Source organism: Homo sapiens, chromosome 5 (genome assembly GCF_000001405.40).
Source record: "Homo sapiens chromosome 5, GRCh38.p14 Primary Assembly".
NCBI lineage: Eukaryota > Metazoa > Chordata > Mammalia > Primates > Hominidae > Homo > Homo sapiens.
Window position 1 is genome coordinate 158,046,878 of NC_000005.10, and position 17,235 is coordinate 158,064,112.

At 41.9% G+C, this 17,235-nt stretch overlaps 1 long non-coding RNA gene across 1 annotated transcript; it reads right to left on the reverse strand.

Moving 5' to 3' along the window:
- Positions 1-1,752: 1,752 nt before the first annotated feature.
- LOC105377677 (uncharacterized) lies at positions 1,753-4,407 on the reverse strand. Its single transcript, XR_941130.2, has 4 exons — positions 4,342-4,407; positions 3,694-4,012; positions 2,045-2,216; positions 1,753-1,947 (listed from the first exon to the last, which is right to left on the reverse strand). It is a non-coding gene; the product is annotated as an uncharacterized LOC105377677 (long non-coding RNA).
- Between the last annotated feature and the right edge of the window lie 12,828 nt (positions 4,408-17,235).

Below are 17,235 nucleotides of genomic sequence, written 5' to 3' on the forward strand. Positions count from 1 at the left end.
GCAGTCACTCATATGGCCTCATAATGGTGCTTATCATCTGGTGAATACAAAAGTAAGAGAGAGACATGGTTTTTGCTTTCAAGGAGTTAATAATCAGTCTGGCTAGACATGTATTTCTGTGATAAATAGAAGGTAATAAAACTCAGATATCATCAAGGCAGTAGATTGTGTGATGTAGACTTTGAGAGAGATACGCATTTATAAGAAGGAAGACCATTGTGGGCTGAGGATGTTGAAAAGGACTTCTTGCAGGAGGGGAGGCAGACTTTATTCAGAATTTCATACCTCTGGGGCTCTGAATTTTTTTTTTTTTTTTTAATTTGGAGACGGAGTCTCACTCTGTCACTCAAGCTGGAGCAGTGGTGCGATCTTGGCTAACTGCAACCTCCGCCTCCCAGGTTCAAGCAATTCTCCTGGCTCAGCCTCCCAAGTAGCTGGGATTACAGGCACCCACTGCCATGCCTGGCTAATTTTTGTATTTTCAGTAGAGACCAGGTTTCATCATGTTGGCCAGGCTGGTCTCAAACTCCTGACTTCAGGTGATCCACCTGCCTCAGGCTCCCAGAGTGCTGGGATTACAGGCATGAGACACTTTGCCTGGTGGGGCTCTGAAATTTATTGCTGAGTTCTCTATATGCTCAATGCTTGTGGGTCCACATCAAGTCCAATTCATTTGAGCTTGCAGGTGGACCCAACGGGGCTGACTCTCCTACAAATATTCTGTTCACTTACCAAAGCAAGTGACTATTCAGACAGTATTTTGCATGGTATATCTTTTCTTTTCATATTACCTTCGGGTAGACACTACTAAAAGGTACAAAGACATGCTACACATTTTATTTTTTGCTTCAATCCACTCTCTTGAAAAGAAAGGGCTTTTCTCTAATGAGTAATGTGTTATGAGTGCTTTTCTCAAAAGAGTAGTGTGTTGTAGTAGAAAGAGCAATGAGGTTGGAAGTCAGGAGATTCAGATTTGAGTCCTGGTCCCAGCATTTCCTAAGGGATGTTGATCAGCTAATTGAACTCCTCCTAGTGTCAGTTTTCTCATCTATAAAATGGAAAAATATGACATACTCCATCTATCTCTTATGTTGTTGTAAGGATCAAAAGAGATAATGCAAGTAAAAATATGTTTATAACCTGCAGTACCTGATACATATATGAGGTATTATTAATGCAACCTTAAACAAATACATCATTTTCCTCATCTGCAAAATGGAGACGGGAATTGTATCTATGTCATTGGATTTCTCTAAGTAGTCAATGGAATAAACCATTTAACATCTTCTAGAATCGGGCTGGGTGTGGTGGCTCACGCCTGTAATCCCAGCACTTTGGGAGGCTGAAGTGGGTGGATCACTTGAGGTCAGGAGTTTGAGGCCAGCCTGGCCAACATGGGGAAACCCCATCTCTACTAAAAATAGAAAAAATTAGCCGGGTGTGGTGGTGTGTGCCTGTGGTCCCAGCTTCTCAGGAGGCTGAGGCAGGAGAATCGCTTGAACCCTGGAGATGGAGATTGCAGTGAGCCGAGCCTGCTCCACTGCACTCCAGCCTGGGCAACAGAGCAAGACTCCATCTTAAAAAAAAAAACTCTTCTAGAATACTTCATGGCAAATAGTAAGTACTCATTAAATCCAAAGATTCCAAAGATAAAAAAACTTGTGACCTAAAAAGACCCTTTAGATCTTAAAGCCCTCCAAAAAAGTTTTTGCTTGTAACGTTTTCACTAGTCAAATTCACCTTTACCTTCAATGTTAAAAATGTCAACTTTGAGTGAGGTTGATCATTCACAAAACAGTAGTTTTCTCTTTCAATCAGTGCTGCTCAGATCAAGCAGGCAAGCTGGTCATGTGGTTCTTCCTGGATGGTGCCAGCTGAGAGGGGGAATCAATTCTATCAGAGATTCTCAAAGTGTCAGCCAAGGTCTGGTCTTCTCTATTATTCATACTGTAATTTGACAGCATCCATACTTTAGTTTCTGGCATAAATTAATAATGTGATATTGAATAAATAATTATCCTGTTGAATACAAACCAGACATCACCTCATTGGTGTCTCAGTGAAACCATGGATTTTCTCCCAGGCACTTTGAGAAGGTTTTCTCAGGACCAAGTGGATGGACTTGGACCATCAGTGGTGAGTGCCTAGATAAACTGATGTCTGGATCAAAAAGTCTTTGCAGTTCCTTGGATAAGTCCTCCTTTGACCGTAGTTCTCTGTGAAGTGGCCAACAAAAAACAACAACCACAAAAATTCCGTGGGTACACAGCAGGGAAAGCTAATCAAAATCAAACAGGGAGCTTTGAGGCTGGTTTCTCCAGAAGCCTAAATATCTTATACTTGCGTATGGTTCTCAGACCTTAGGTATCCATGGATATAGTTTTGTGGAGTGGAATTGATTTCTAAAGAGGAAAATCAGGTTTTCTGGGAAAATGAAAGGCCCTAGAAGGCGTATAATTTTTTTCTCAAAATGAAGATAATTTTTGCCAGAAGAATGTATCATAAGAGAATATCCAGCTCTTCAGTCTTTATTTCCCCCAAGGATCCTGCTTTTAGTCTTATAAACTGAAACTCACAGAGGGAGCTGTTTAAAAATTAGACTGGGGTCTGGTCAGATGTGGTCTGCTGCAGCTGGGGGTCAGTATAGTAAGGGGCCTGTTTGGAGGGAGTGCATAGTTCTCCATTAGCCCTCCAGGTTTCAGGGTATGGCAGGTTCTGCTCACTTACTCTGTTACTTCCTCACCATACACACAGTGAAACTACCTTTCCCAGCCTCCTCTGCACTCAGGTGTGCACGTGACTGAGTTCTGGCCACCAACATGTGGGTTGAAGTACTATTTGCCCCTTCCAGTCCTGGCCTCTAAGACCTCCTCTGACTCCATGTTCTTCCTTCTCTGCACCCCTGACTCAGAAATGAAGCCCAGGGAACTTTGTAAGCTGTGAATTTGTGCAGACCTGTCCATTTGTGCAGAGCCCCAAATCAAAGGAACCTGGTTTCTGAATCATTAGTTGGAAGAGAGCTGCTTAAATGTCATGTGAAACAAATCTTTACTGTTTTAAGCCTCTGAGATTTCAGTGCTGTTTGTTACCGTGGTTGGCTTGCCTGTCTCATATGCAAGGGAAGGCAACCATCATTAAGCAGAACATCTTCTTCTCCCCTAAAGGGAAATGAATGTCTAGACTCAATTTAACAGTGCATTCTACAACTGCCACACTCATAGTCTTGTAGCAAATATTGGGTGAGCACAGGAATCTTCTGGAGCAAGATTGTTAACATGTGAGTTACTTTTCAGGAGAAGTATTTCATGCAAACTCAAAGAATGTATTTGGATAACTCAGGAGGTGACCCACCCTACCCTACACATAAGTGAATTCAAATGGCTTGCCAGGTGTGCTTTTAGGAGTATTTTCCCAACTTTCTTCATCAGTTTTCCAGAATACTTAAAAATCCTCATTATGAGAATCATTAACCAGAGGGTTAGAAAACTACCTCAGAAAGTTCCTGTAAAAATACATGTACGTTACCTGGCAGAGGTACCAGATTAACCAATTCATACCTATTAGTAACATCTAGTGTCTCAGATTCTGAGAAGAACATACAATGTTAAAGAGATGACACAGCAGTGAGATGGAATTTTGATGGAGGCAGAGAGGGTGAGGAGAGATGAAAATGTTTAGAATGAGGGTACTTACCACGGGTAAGGAAGATCTGGTTGGGAGACTGTGATTCAGCTGCATTCTATCCCTCTAAGCATCTCTGAAGGAATTTAGAGATCTTGAAAAGTCTGTTTGGATTCAAGCCTAGAACTGATGTTAATATTAGTTGGGCTAATCTCAGCTCATTCCAAAAATGGTGGATTAGAAAAATAAATAATCATATGAAAAGTTTTTCCAAAATAACGTGTGTCATAGCCTGATACTCCTCCTCACCATGCTCTTTGTCATCTGGCTCCTCCAGCTTCAGCAGTTCAGCATCAACCTTCAGCTTCTGGAAAACACCTCTCAGATAAAGCTAAAAGAAAGAAAGAGGAAAAGTAGTACTCTATCCCCTGAACTCAGAACTGCGGATTTCAGGCACCTGTGAGTTGTTAGCCAGTAACTGATATGCTCTGTGGTCTTGAGTTTGGTGGTAACCTGTATGTATCTGTCTTGCTTACCCATGTAATAAAGCTTCTATTTTACATCAGCCCCCAGCCATCTTTTATTAGCTAACTACAGACTGTGAGCGCTTTGAAGGCAGAGACATCTTCAATTACTCCGTTGTCCTGACATACAGCACTTGGACCTGACAGGCAGTGAGGAAATGTTTACTTAATGAGCTAATCACTTATGAATCCTCACCTTTTATTTTCCTTCTTCACTGGGGGAGAGCCAGGCGACTACCTTCACTAAATGCTATTTCCCCACAAACATATTTCTCTGAAAGACAAATTCAGTGAAGCTGAGAGTCGAGAGTGATTGTAACACATTCCTCCTGACTTGATTTTTGCTGGATGTGCCAACTGATTTCCATTGGCTGCAGTCTGATTTTTTTTTTTTTGAGGTCTGTGGCATAGGTAGATGTTTGTTTTTCTGGCTAATGTGCATATTCATTTTGTGTTTGCCATGGAAAAGACTCCACCTAATCTTTAAGGTATAAATGTAGTATTCAGTTGTATGGAACTCACTAAAATGCTCTCTGGATTTTCTAAACCCTGTACCCCCAGGTTCTGTTGTGACCCTGTCTTCACTTCCTTCTTTGTAGGTCTTTTTCCTTATTCCATGTTCCTCAAGGCAGACTAGGGGAGTGTAGCAGACAGGACATGTTCAGCTGTGAGTGGGAAAAAAAACCCAATGAGAAGTGGTGTCAACAGTCTAGACATCATTATGTCAAATTGTAAGTTTGGAGATAGGGTAGTTGCAGGGTTGGTTCATCTGGAGTCTCAACCAAGTGCAGCACCTGGGTTATTCCCATCTTTCTGCCCTGCTATGCATAGCATATTTGCCTTTGTCCTCAGACTGACATCTTTCCGTGATTGCAGGAAAGCTGCAGTGGCTCCAGCCATCACTTCTTCACCAGCCATGCTGTGAGCAGAAAAATGGGCTTTCTTCTCACACATTTGCTTTTAAGAGTAAGAAAACTTTTTTTCAGGCTGGGTGAGGTGGCTTATGCCTGTAATCCCAGCACTTTGGGAGGCTGAGGTGAGTGGATCACCTGAGGTCAGGAGTTCGAGATCAGCCTGGCCAACATGGTGAAACCCTGTCTCTACTAAAAATACAAAAATTAGCCAGGCATGGTGCTGCGCGTGCCTATAGTCCCAGCTACTTGGGAGGCTGAGGCAGGAGAATTGCTTGAACCTGGGAGGCAGAGGTTGCAGTGAGCCAAGATTTTGCCACTGCACTCCAGCCTGGGCAACAGAGCAAGACACCATGTCAAAAAAAAAAAAAAAAAAAAAAAAAAGGAAAACTTTTTTCAGTAATCTCTCTACAGATCTCTTAATCTTATTGGCTCAAACTGGGCCACATGCCCACCCTTAAACCACTCACTAGAAGATAACGGGAATTACTACGATTAGCTTAGATTCATTAAGATTTATCCTTGGGAATGGGGAGGGTCCCTGCTCCCTTTGAAGCATAAAACTGGAGTTGTATTATCAAGGAAGAGGGGAGAGGAGGGCTGCTGCAGGAAGCAAAGGGGATATGATTGCAGGCTCCCTGGGAAAACTTTGACTTCAGCCAAAGGCCAGGGCAGCTCCCAGTGGGACCCTCTGCCTTACCATACCATGGTAACTTCTCTCCCTTGGGCTCAGTCACACTTGCAAGCCTGTTGTTGGGGGATGGTTTCAGGATTTAACTGTTCCACCACTGATCATCGGGCATTAGTTAGATTCTTATAAGGAACATGCAACCTAGATCCCTGCCCCCCGCAACCACGTACAGCTCACAGTAGAGTTCACACTGCTAGAGAATCTAATGCTGCCACCATCTGACAGGAGGTAAGGCCAGACATGGTGGCTCACACCTGTAATCCCAGCACTTTGGGAGGCCAAGGCAGGTGGATCACCTGAGGTCAGGAGTTTGAGAACGGCCTGGCCAACATGGCAAAACCTGTGTCTACTAAAAATACAAAAGTTGGCTAGGCGTGGTGGTGGAGGCCTGTATTCTTAGCTATCCAGGAGGCTGAGGCAGGAGAATTATGTGAACTCGGGAGGTGGAGGTTGCAGTGAGCCAAGATAATGTCATTGCACTCTAGCCCAGGTGACAGAGCAAGACTCCCTCAAAGAAAAAAAAAAAAAAAAAAGATGACAGGAGGTGAAGCTCAGGCCGTAATGCTCACTTGCCTGCTCACATCTTGTATGGCCTGGTTCCTAACAGGCCACGGACCAGTACTGGTCTGTGGCCCAGGGTTCGGGTGCCCTTGTTTTGCTTGCCTTACCAGTGGGATGACTTGCCTTACCAGTAGACATTAGGGCCCACCCCAAGCCTCAGGACTCCCCTAGGGGGCAGTTATAAGGTTTTCGTTTTTTTTTTTTACCAAAATTTTATTAAAACTTCAAGACAAGAACAGAAGTTAAAAAGTAGGAAATAAAAATCTTGTCTTCCCTTATGGAAATCCTACTCTTCAGAGATGCCACTTAAAATCTTGCTGTTTATCGTTCTAGACTTTATAATGGCAGGTTTTAAAAAAATATCATCAGGGTATACTTAGGGGAAGAGGCGACATCGTTGTAGTTAAATACCCTGGGCCTCTCTGAGTAATGGTTCCCTGGATTCTCTAATCCCACACTGTGCAAGCCACTGAGGGCCAGCCTAGACCTTAGCAATGCCCAGAACCAGACCAGAGGATATCTCTCTTGGACATCATACAGTGACTATTCAACTTCAAACACCACACAATGATGAGTTTTTCCAGGACATTCCACCCACTTTTTAAAATAAAACATATTAGTGTTATAAATCAATCGAATATGGTTCGTAATAGCAATAATGCCCTTGAAATCTGTTAATCTTGCCATTGAAAAACGGTATGCCACAGCATTTGCTGCCTTGGCTTCACCTTGGGGTATTAACTAACAAATCAGTTATTAGCCAGTGGTAATGACCAATTTTCGAGAGATGATTGCTTAAATATCGCCCACCTTGAAAAGAGGATTATTACTCAACCGAGAACTGAACTCTTATTTTCGACTCAGTAGAGCTAATGATCTTTTCTCACACCATTTTGTCTCCCTCCTCCAGGTCCCCCCACCCAACCCCCCTTGCCTCATCTTCTTTCTTCCTGGTATGAGGTGTGTGGGGATCACATGGTTACATAACTACTTCCCTCTCAGCCTCAGTGACTTGAGTCCAGGAAAAGTTCCATATTTAATATTTATTCACCAAGCAGCGGTGGATGAAGACAGATGGTAATGAAATCAGTCTTGCTGAGAGTGACCATAATGATAATAGATTCTTTATGATGTCCAGGAATTCTGGACTCTCAGTCTCTGCTTAAATGCATGTTGGCGCCAACTCTGTCATCTTAAGCCTTAGTATTCTTGTCATCCTCCTGACCTCTCCTAGACCAGAGCAGGCAGGCTGTGCTAAAGACATCAATCTGTCGTTCTCCTCATATAAATGCTTTAAACACCTATAGCCACAAATGACTCACCAGCAGAGATTTTTTCAGAAGAGGAAAAATGAGAAGATAAAATAAAGGCACCCCTGCAGCTCTAGTGGAAGGGCTGGCACTGGTGTTCGGGCTCGTTTTGCATGTGCTGCCTCTGTGCCTGTAACTGGTCCTGAACAGCCCAGGTTACCCATCTGGACTTGCTGGGGATTTCAGAATGCCTCCTCTCCAACATCACTTTGTTGGCCTGGAATGAAACTGGGAGAGAGGGTGGGATAGGGAAGAAAAAAGGGGAAAAGGGAGACATAAAACGAAGTAGAGTTGGCAAAGAGTCACGCTCCTGTCAAACGAGTAAACTCAGAACACTGATTGCACTAGAGACAGCAATGTCCTGGGTCAAGCAGAGCTTTTTTTCAAGCAATCTGGCAGCCCTTTTTAGTAATAGGAGGTAAATCATTCTGACGTTCCTTGCTATCCAAAGCATTAATCATGTTGAATTCCTTTGTTGTTCTGGGGTCTGGATCAACTGTAATTCTACAGGAATTCCATTGTAATCTAGTATTAATTAATCTCTGTGTTATATAGAGTGGTGCCAAAAACCTTTCTCTGCATTTGTTTGCTTGTACATCAGTTATTAGCTTTGTGAATACCTAACTCTAGCTGGGGAACAGTTACTCCTCTCTCTCGCTCTTTTTTTCCTCTCAGTCTTGGAAATTGTCATTTTCCTTGGGTAGGAACTAGGGCAGCTCACATATGAAGGAAGACCTTGCCTTGTTACACGAAAGCATTAGGAGGGGGTGGGAGGCAAAGATGGTGAGAGGGCTGGTTACAGTCCCCTTGTGGTTTCCACTCCAGCCCTGCCCTTCCCAGCTGTGTCACTTTTGGGCAACTTATCTAACCTCAGTTTCCTTATCTGTAAAGTAGACATTATAATTGTTCCTACTGCCCAGGATTTTTATGAAGATTAAACAACAACCAGCTCTTTCTTCGGTGACAACAAAGGCTGCCCAGGGAGTGGCTACGTTTGATGGGATGGTCTTCAGTCAGTGACGCTGCAGGAGTCTTCCTTCCAGGACGTAGGGTCTTGGGGTAGAACATCACTAGCGTTACTCCAACTTGAAGATTTTGAGTGTTTGCAGGAGAAACCATGTGTTACTGGCTCCAGGAAACACCTGCCTGCCTCTCAGCTCTTCCCAGAATATGCCTAAGCAATAATAGAGGGTCAGAGGCTGAGATTCTTGGTTTTTCAGTGGTAAATAATGAATGTTGCACCAGCTGCTGGCAGACTCTGAAATCTTCTGTTTTAAAATGCAGAAGGAAAAAGAAACACAATAAAAATATCCAATATGCATTTATCTGGTACATCATCTTTAAATAGCTCCCTTCAGATTGCAAAAAAGGTAACTCTATCCTCCTTCCTGGCTGGCTCTCTGCATCCTGCCACAAAACAGGGCTATTGGCCCTCGATTTTGACCTGGTATAAAAAGCAGTATATTTTTATGACCTGGTAACAGTCACATTTCTACACCATAAAATATTAAAGCAGGCATGACAGTGCCTTTAAGATCTTTGAGGCAGGTGCTATCAAAATGTGCCCCTTTATTATTTATTTATTTGACTCTTTTTGTATAGTGAGGCTTAAATGCTTTTCAGGCCAAATAATTAAATTCCATTATGGAGAGCGGGAATTGTTGGCAAAATATACTCACTCTCGCTATTAGACCCTTCAGTCCCCAGCGGAACTCCATGGAGGGGAGTAAAAAAAATCTGGCTTATATTTATATGTAAGATATGCAGTATGACATATTGGGCCCACAGGAGTGATGCTACATGAAAAAACAAATAGGGAGGGGACTGCTAGAGATCCTTCTCTCCTGGCCAGCAATCTCCTAGAGCAGGGGTCTGCCAACTATGGCTTGTGGGCCAAATCTGCCCATTGCCTGTTTTTGTACATCCTATAAGCTGAGTATGGTTTTGACAATTTAAATGGTTGAAAAAAAGTAACAGAGGAATAATATTTTGTGGCATGAGAAAACAAAATGAAATTAAAATTTAATTGTGCATAAAAAAGTTTGACTGGAACACAGCCACACCCATCATTTACATATTGCCTATGGTTGCATTTACATTCCTTCAAGTTGAGTGGTTGCCACAGAGAACGTAGGGCTGCAAAGCCAGAAATATTTACTGTCTGGCCCTTTACAGGAACAGCTTGCTGAACCCTGTTCTAGAGGAATTTGGACTTGGGCTCTGGAAAGGATAGCATGGGGGCTAGCCGAGTTCAAGATCCTTTATGCTGTTGATGCATTTGGATGTTGACTTTGATTTGATGAACCTGATTGTTTTTTGAAATGGACACATAGGCCGGTTAAGGGAAGAGGACAGGCATGCCCTAAAGTAGTTTTTGGATCCCATAACCCTCCCCTTCAAATGCAGCTCCTGGGATTGTATACTGGGTGACGTCCTTTCCCTCTCTCTGCAGTGTGTTTCTTTATATCTTTTCCGCCTCATCATCTCCATGACTGTTACCCACGGTTAAGGCATGACCATCTCCCCTGTTTTTGGGCAAAAGTCTGCAAACTGGTCTATTTCTATTCCATTTCAATAAGCAGTTGCTTCTCCACATAATAGTTGCAGCAATGTTTTAAGAAACAAAAACAGACCATATAACTTCCCTCAGATGGATGTGCTCCCTACTTTAGTCAAGATTCTGCTCAAATGACACCCCCAGGGAAGCCTTTCCTTGCCCACTCTTTCTAGAACAGCCCCCACCTCACTCCATCACTGTTTATGTTGTTACTTTTTTTTTCTTTTAAACTGTGTGCATAGCTCACTGCAGCCTAGGCTCAAGTGATTCTCCTGCCTCAGCCTCCTGAGTATCTGGGACTGCTGGCACATGCCACCATGCTTGGCTAATTAAAAAATTTTTTTGTAGACATAGGCTTTCACTTTGTTGCCCAGGCTGGTCTTGAACTTCTGGCTTCAAATGATCCTCCTGCCTCGGCCTCCCAAAATGCAGGGATTGCAGGCATAAGTCACCACACCCGACCTTGTTACTCCTTTTTATTGCTGTTCCAGCATTTGTTATCATCTTATATTATCTGAGTTGGTTCATTGGGTTACATTTGGTTTCCCCTGCCAGAATGGAAGCTCCATAAGAGTAGGTACCTCGACCATCTTATTCATTAGAGCATTTCCAACATCTCACGAGTTCTCAAGAAAAGGTTGTTAAGTGAGTAAATAAATGGATCAATCCTCCTGGCATAGGCCATGCAGTGTTGGCATCACCTTCTGCCTGTCTGCTTCTCCAGCGGTGTGTTAGCTTTTAAAATTTCTATATCCTTGCTCTCAAGGAGACCTGTGACTAGTAGGAGACACAGACATTAAACACTTCTTGGCATTTCACTTTCCTGCCATCTGCACCCTTCCTCCTGGATCCTGTTGTCTTTTAAGGCTAACCTGGTTATTTTCCATGAACCCACAGAAGGTTGAGAAAAGCTTCCTGTGTGTGGCAGACACTGTCAGGCTCCTTTTAGATCCCTTTGGATCCATTTCACTCTCCTTCCCCTGATTGCTTTTGCTTCTGTGACCTGCTCCAGTCACTCTCTTCAAAGGACACTTTTGGGCAACTGAAGTGGCTTACCCCCAAATCTCAGATAGGTGGAAATGCCTATGGGTTTATCCACCAGGGGCTGTTCTTGGTGAACAGCTGACTTGTGCAGAGGCATAAAATCCCAGCTTCCTTACCTCAAATGTAGACAAACTCTGAGGTACCCAACTTTCACTCCTGGGTTCTCTGTGGAGTTGGGTTGAAGCTGCTCTCCATGGGAAAAGGCCAGAAATCAAGCCTTTGCTCAGCTTCTCCCCCCTTCCTTCTTCTCCCTTACCAATTTCTCCCGGGAGCATTTCCTTAACAAATCTCTTGCCCACATGCCTTCCTCTCTGAGTCAGCTTCTGAGAAATCTCAGGTAACACACTCTGCTTTTGCATCATAGAGAGGCACATACACATTGAATCTAAAGAAAGTACATAATGGGAATATCAGCCACTGTGGCAGACCAGGGTTTAATATATTTTTTGGTTGGTGGGTGGAAGGCATGAGGCCTAAGACAGGAGGACTTTGAAGGGCCATGAAAATTGAATCATGTTGGTGATGTACTATTTTGATAATATGTTAGGCTTGTTCTTAGTAAAGGAATCGCATAAAAAGAGGAAGCTAGGAATGCCCTTATTTGAGCAATAAACGTTAAAAAGAAAATAAAAGTAGCATACATTTGGTTTTAGGGGATGGCAGAGCAGGAGTCATGGGGGGAGAAAGGATGATTTTACATTTAGGATGTTCTATGTCAAGGTCCATTCTAGCAGATGTGCTAAGCTCTCCTGTCATCATTACCGACATGCCAACAAATCTTTTCATCCTGCACATGCCGGCAGCTTATTTAAGATCATCGGGCCCAAAATGACATGGTTTTTGTCTTCCACCAGATGGTTCAATTAGTCAAGATTCTGAAAAAGCCAACTGGAACATTCTTTTAGCCCCATCTATTCAAGTCAGCCAACACTTCAAAGCTGGGTGGGTGGGGATTCTGAGAGCAACAGATTTCCCAGCCCCAAGGCATCAGGGTTATTACTTTTTGATGGGCTCCTGGAGGGCTGTAGGAGGCTGCCAATGCACTTTCTCCATTGGACAATGCCAACGCCAGAAGAAAATGGGGAGAAGAGCTTCCTTTCTGTTGGACTGTTTGGAGTGAACAACCTGTTAAGGACTTGTCATGGAAGAACACCTTTCCTGTTCTCCTGCCACAACACACTCCAAGTCACATAATCATGTTGATTTTGATTGTCTAGTATCTTGGTGCTACCTGGATACCTTTGCTTGAATGATACATGGAATTAGTTCCACAGTTCTTCCCTTGAAATTAGCATATTAATGTGGCAGATTGATAATGCTAGAAGGATGGATGCTTGAACACACAGGCTGCCTTCTTCCAAGGGCTCCGACTAGCAGCCCTGTTTTAGAGTGAACCTCAGCACATTGGCACGAAGTCACAGGGTTTAAAATGTAAAAGGCATCATCTAGATCATTTTTTCTGGAGGAAAATGAGGGCTTACATTGATGACATGAACTGATTCAAGGGAAGTTTGTTGGGCCCATATGCTAGAGACTGATGAAACAGAACAATTTTTATTACAATCTCATATTTTAAGGAGGCAACTTGGTGGTGGTGAGAAAAATGAGAAGAATCTGTGCTTTCTAGTCAATAGACATGGGTTCAAATCTTGGCTTTCCTACTGGGTATAATTTGGATCAAATGCTGAAACTCCCTGAGCATTAGTTTCTTCACTTTAAAAAACTGGGAGAGAAATAGCTCCTTTGCAGGGGAATTAAATTTTAAAAAATCTGTAGAAAGTGTTTAATACAAAGTCAGCCCGTAGCAAGGGCTACACAAATGTTCTCATTCCCTTTCTTCTCCCCAAAGACACAGAGCTAATTAATGGCAAATCTGGTTAATGGCAAATCTGGTCTCTAGTTCTTCTGACTTCTGGTTTGGTATTTCTTCTACATCATCTTTATTTGTTCCATGATTTCTAGTTATTCTGAACAATTTTATTCTTATGAGTATGTTGATGAATAGCATTGCCTGAATGTAAACATTTGAAAATTATGAAGTATAAAATGGGAATTAAACATTACTGTAAAACAGGACTCATATAGTCATATTTTCCAGGAGAAATGAGAAAGTGGGGTGGTTTATTTCAGATACAGAATAACAAAAATGATTGATAATGGTAAAATTGATATTATTTAATAAAGTCAACAAATATGTATTGAGCACTTGCATTAATTTGGCACTGGAGGTGACTCAGAGCTGATTGAAGCAGATATGGCAGATACGGTCCTGTGCTTAGCTTATGTAAGGGGGTGGGTGGGGTCAAGAAGGATTTGTTCTTTAAGTAAACCCTGACTCATTTTATTCCCTTTGAGCTGTGAAAGATACAGCTAAACAGAGGTAAAATAAAAGGAACCTCTAGTAGACACAGCTTGCAATCAGAATATGGGACTCACGAGAGATAGTAAAAGCTGAAAATGTAGTTTTTAAAAATATTTAGGAAAAGGCAGGGTGAGGTGGCTCACACCTGTAATCCCAGCTCTTTGGGAGGTTGAGGCAAGAGGATCCCTTGACCCAAGGAGGTTGAAATTACAGTGAGCTGTGATCATGCCACTGCATTCCAGCCTTGGGGACAGAGAAAGATTCTCTCTTTAAAACAAAAGTTAGGAAACAACTTTGATGATAGATAAGTAGCTGTAAGGTGAAAGAAGGATATTTTGGGGGATATTTCCAATCTTTGAGGATAGCGTTAAAGAAGACAGACCTGTTTTCATACTTCATTCTTTTAGCAATAGGTTGGAGTAATAATAGCTTCTGTTAGTGAACACTTACTAAGCACCAGGTGTTGTGCTGAGTGTTTCGAATGCATTATTTCAATCTTCACAAGATGGGATGGTAAGTTTTAATATAATCATTTTTACAGATAAGGGAAGTTGGAGTGCTAGGAGAGGTTGATAAAGTGACCCAAGGTTAGCCTCAAGGTTCAGATTCAGGCATTCTGACTCCAGAGCCCAGGACATTCACGTCTCAGCCCAGTTTTGAAGGAGACACACCTGGTAGGCTTAGTTAGCTCCGTGCTTCACAACCATGCACATTGGGCAATTACTGAATATCTCCGTGATTCAGTTCCCTCATCTGTAAAATGAGTTTTGTCCCAGGGTTGTGCTGAGGATCGAACGAGATAATATTAATGAAAGCCAAGTGGTGAATCTGCCAGGCAGGTAAGGTGATCAGCTGTCCCAGCCTTCCAGGGACTTTCCCATTTTTAAACTTTAAGTCTTGTAGCCTTGGAGACTCTTCAGTTGTGGGTAAATCAGCACAGCTGGTCACTTCCATGCAAGTCCCATTCCAACCTGCAGAATATCTGGGCAAAGCGATAATAGATTTTGGAGAACAGGAAGCAGCTCAAGGAGGCAAATGAATTTCAGCTGGTGTTTGAAGCGGCTGTCAACTCTTTTGGGTTGAAAGGCATCAGGGAAATTCTCCCTGATAAAGCCTGTGAGAAAAGTGGGGGAGTTAGGCAGAGTTTGGGAAACAGGATGGTTGCCAAGCCGTGGTGCTAATGCTTCGTGTCTGGAAGCCTCTGATGCACATTCTCTTCTGGGGTGCTCAGAGCCTAGGGGTGACTTACTGACTTAAAGGGGAGTTGGAGGGGGAGTCCAGGTGGCAAACTCAGCCCTTTGACATTTTGAGATACAGCTTTCCCCATTTCCCCTTTTATGGAACAGATTTTGGTGGATTTGAATCTGACTTTGCCACTGACTAACTGCATGATATTGGGAAGCTATTTCACCTCTTCCATCTTTAGTTACTGCATCCATAAAAAAGGAATGATGAGAATCCCAACCCCCTATGATGTGCTTAGGATTGAATAAGAAATTGTGCTTGGCATGAAGCACTCAATTGTTGGTTACTGCTGTTGCTACTACTATTACTAGTTCTACTTAAATTAATCTATTAGGGTAGCATTGTCAAATTTTGCAAAAAACGGTTTAGGCTTCCTGGTTAAATTTAATTTAGATAAACAATAAATATTTCTCAGGACAAGCTTATGCTAAAAATTATTCATTATCTTAAATTGAAATTTAACTACGTGTTCTGCGTTTTATCTGGCAGCCCTGTGTTACGTAAAATAACTATTCTGGTTATATCTCAGATTTGAGGGGTTTCCCAAGACCCAGGACTTTTAGTTTACAACTGGAATAGCCACAGACAAACAGGCATGATTGGTCACCCCATTAAGTCTGGTAGCTGTTTAGATGGTCACATTTGAAACTTAAATGATGGTAACAGGCACTCTAATGATACACACTCAACGTAAACATACACATGCAATGTTTTACACACATTTTCAGGAATTTCTTGGACTTTTTGAAGCCTATTCATGAGTTCCCGGTTAAGAACACAAGCTCCCCCAAATCATCCAGATTCCAAATACTTATTCTTCTGGCAAAACTTGTGACGATCTTATGAAGAGACTCAGGAAATAGGTGGTAAGGGATCTGTGGCCTACTAATCACTTCCAAACTGAGCTTTCAGTAGATTAGAACATTGATCAATAAAATGAAGATTAGAGCATATGTCTATGTAGCATAAAATGAGGCAGACTCTGTGTTGAAATTAATTCACTTAATTAATTCAGGCCTTCTAAATCCAATTTAAGGTCACAGTGATCTGGTTTGGCGGTTCGTATTGATTGAATTGACTGAACTTATTTACTATTCCACTATATGAAGAATTGAGGCAGGGCATGGACCTATCAGAGTCTGGGAGATATTACAGAAAAATTGAAAACTGTATATGCTTGCCTAGCTCTTTCTCTTTTTTTTGGTATTTATAAAATATAGTGAAATATACATACAAATGACTGAATGTAACAAATCAGGACAGTAAAAAGAGTGTTAATAAATAACCAACCACATATTCACTAACAGCTTAAAAACTAGAATATCATCAATAATTTTGAAGACACCTCTGTGCTGTTTATTGTCACTGTTGTACAGTGCTCCATTGAATACAGACATCCAACCTATTAACCATCATATCATTGATGGACATTTGAGTTGTTTCATGTTTTGTCTTTATTTTTCTGATTACAAACAATGCTATCAACATTCTCAACATGTTTTCCTGGTACACATGCATTGACAAGAGCTGCTCCAACATGTACATTTAGGAGCGGAATTGTTGGGTTGGAGAACAGATGTATTTTCTACTTGATGTTGATTGTTTTCCAAGGTGTTTATGGAAATTATAGCCCCACCAGCAGTGTAGGGGAGTTCCCATTGCTCCACATCCTCACCAGTGCTTGGTATGGTCAGGCTTGTTAGTTGCTGCCTATCTAGTAGATGTAAAATAGTATCTCACTGAGATTAAGCTTTTGTTCTTATTACTTATAAGGTTGAAAATCTTTTCATATGTTTATTGCTATTCATTGTTTCCTTTTGTGTGAAATGCTTGTTCATGTCTTTTGCTAATTTTCTCTTTTTTTTTTTGGTCTTCTGCTTAGCTTTTTTGCTTATATATGTAGCAAATATCTCTTTCCGGTTTGTGAATTTTCTTGCCACTCTCTATACAGAAGAATTTGTTAACTGCTTGTGCCTGTCATATTTATAATTACTTGTTCAGTGTCTGCCACTCTGAACTTCCTGTAAGCTCTATGAGGACAGATACTGAGTCTGTCTCTATCCCCAGAACTAATGCAGTGCCTGACCTACATAGTAGGTATTTGATAAGTATTAATCTAGAAATAAACCTGCATGTCAATGTATTGTATAATAGGGAGGGGTTCTTTTCTTTTTGGTTGTTGCAGTTTTTAAACTGCCATTTACAGAGGAAGGCAGAATAGGCTGGGTGGAAAATCTTTGTCATCTAAGCATGATGAAGACCATGGGATCTGGGGTACCATTGCTGCTTACTAGCTCTGTGACAATGAGCAATTAATTAACCTTTCTGTGCATCAGATCCTTCTTGGTAAAATGCTACCTATCTCATAGGATTGTTGAATTAACACATATAATATAAGGCACTTAGAGC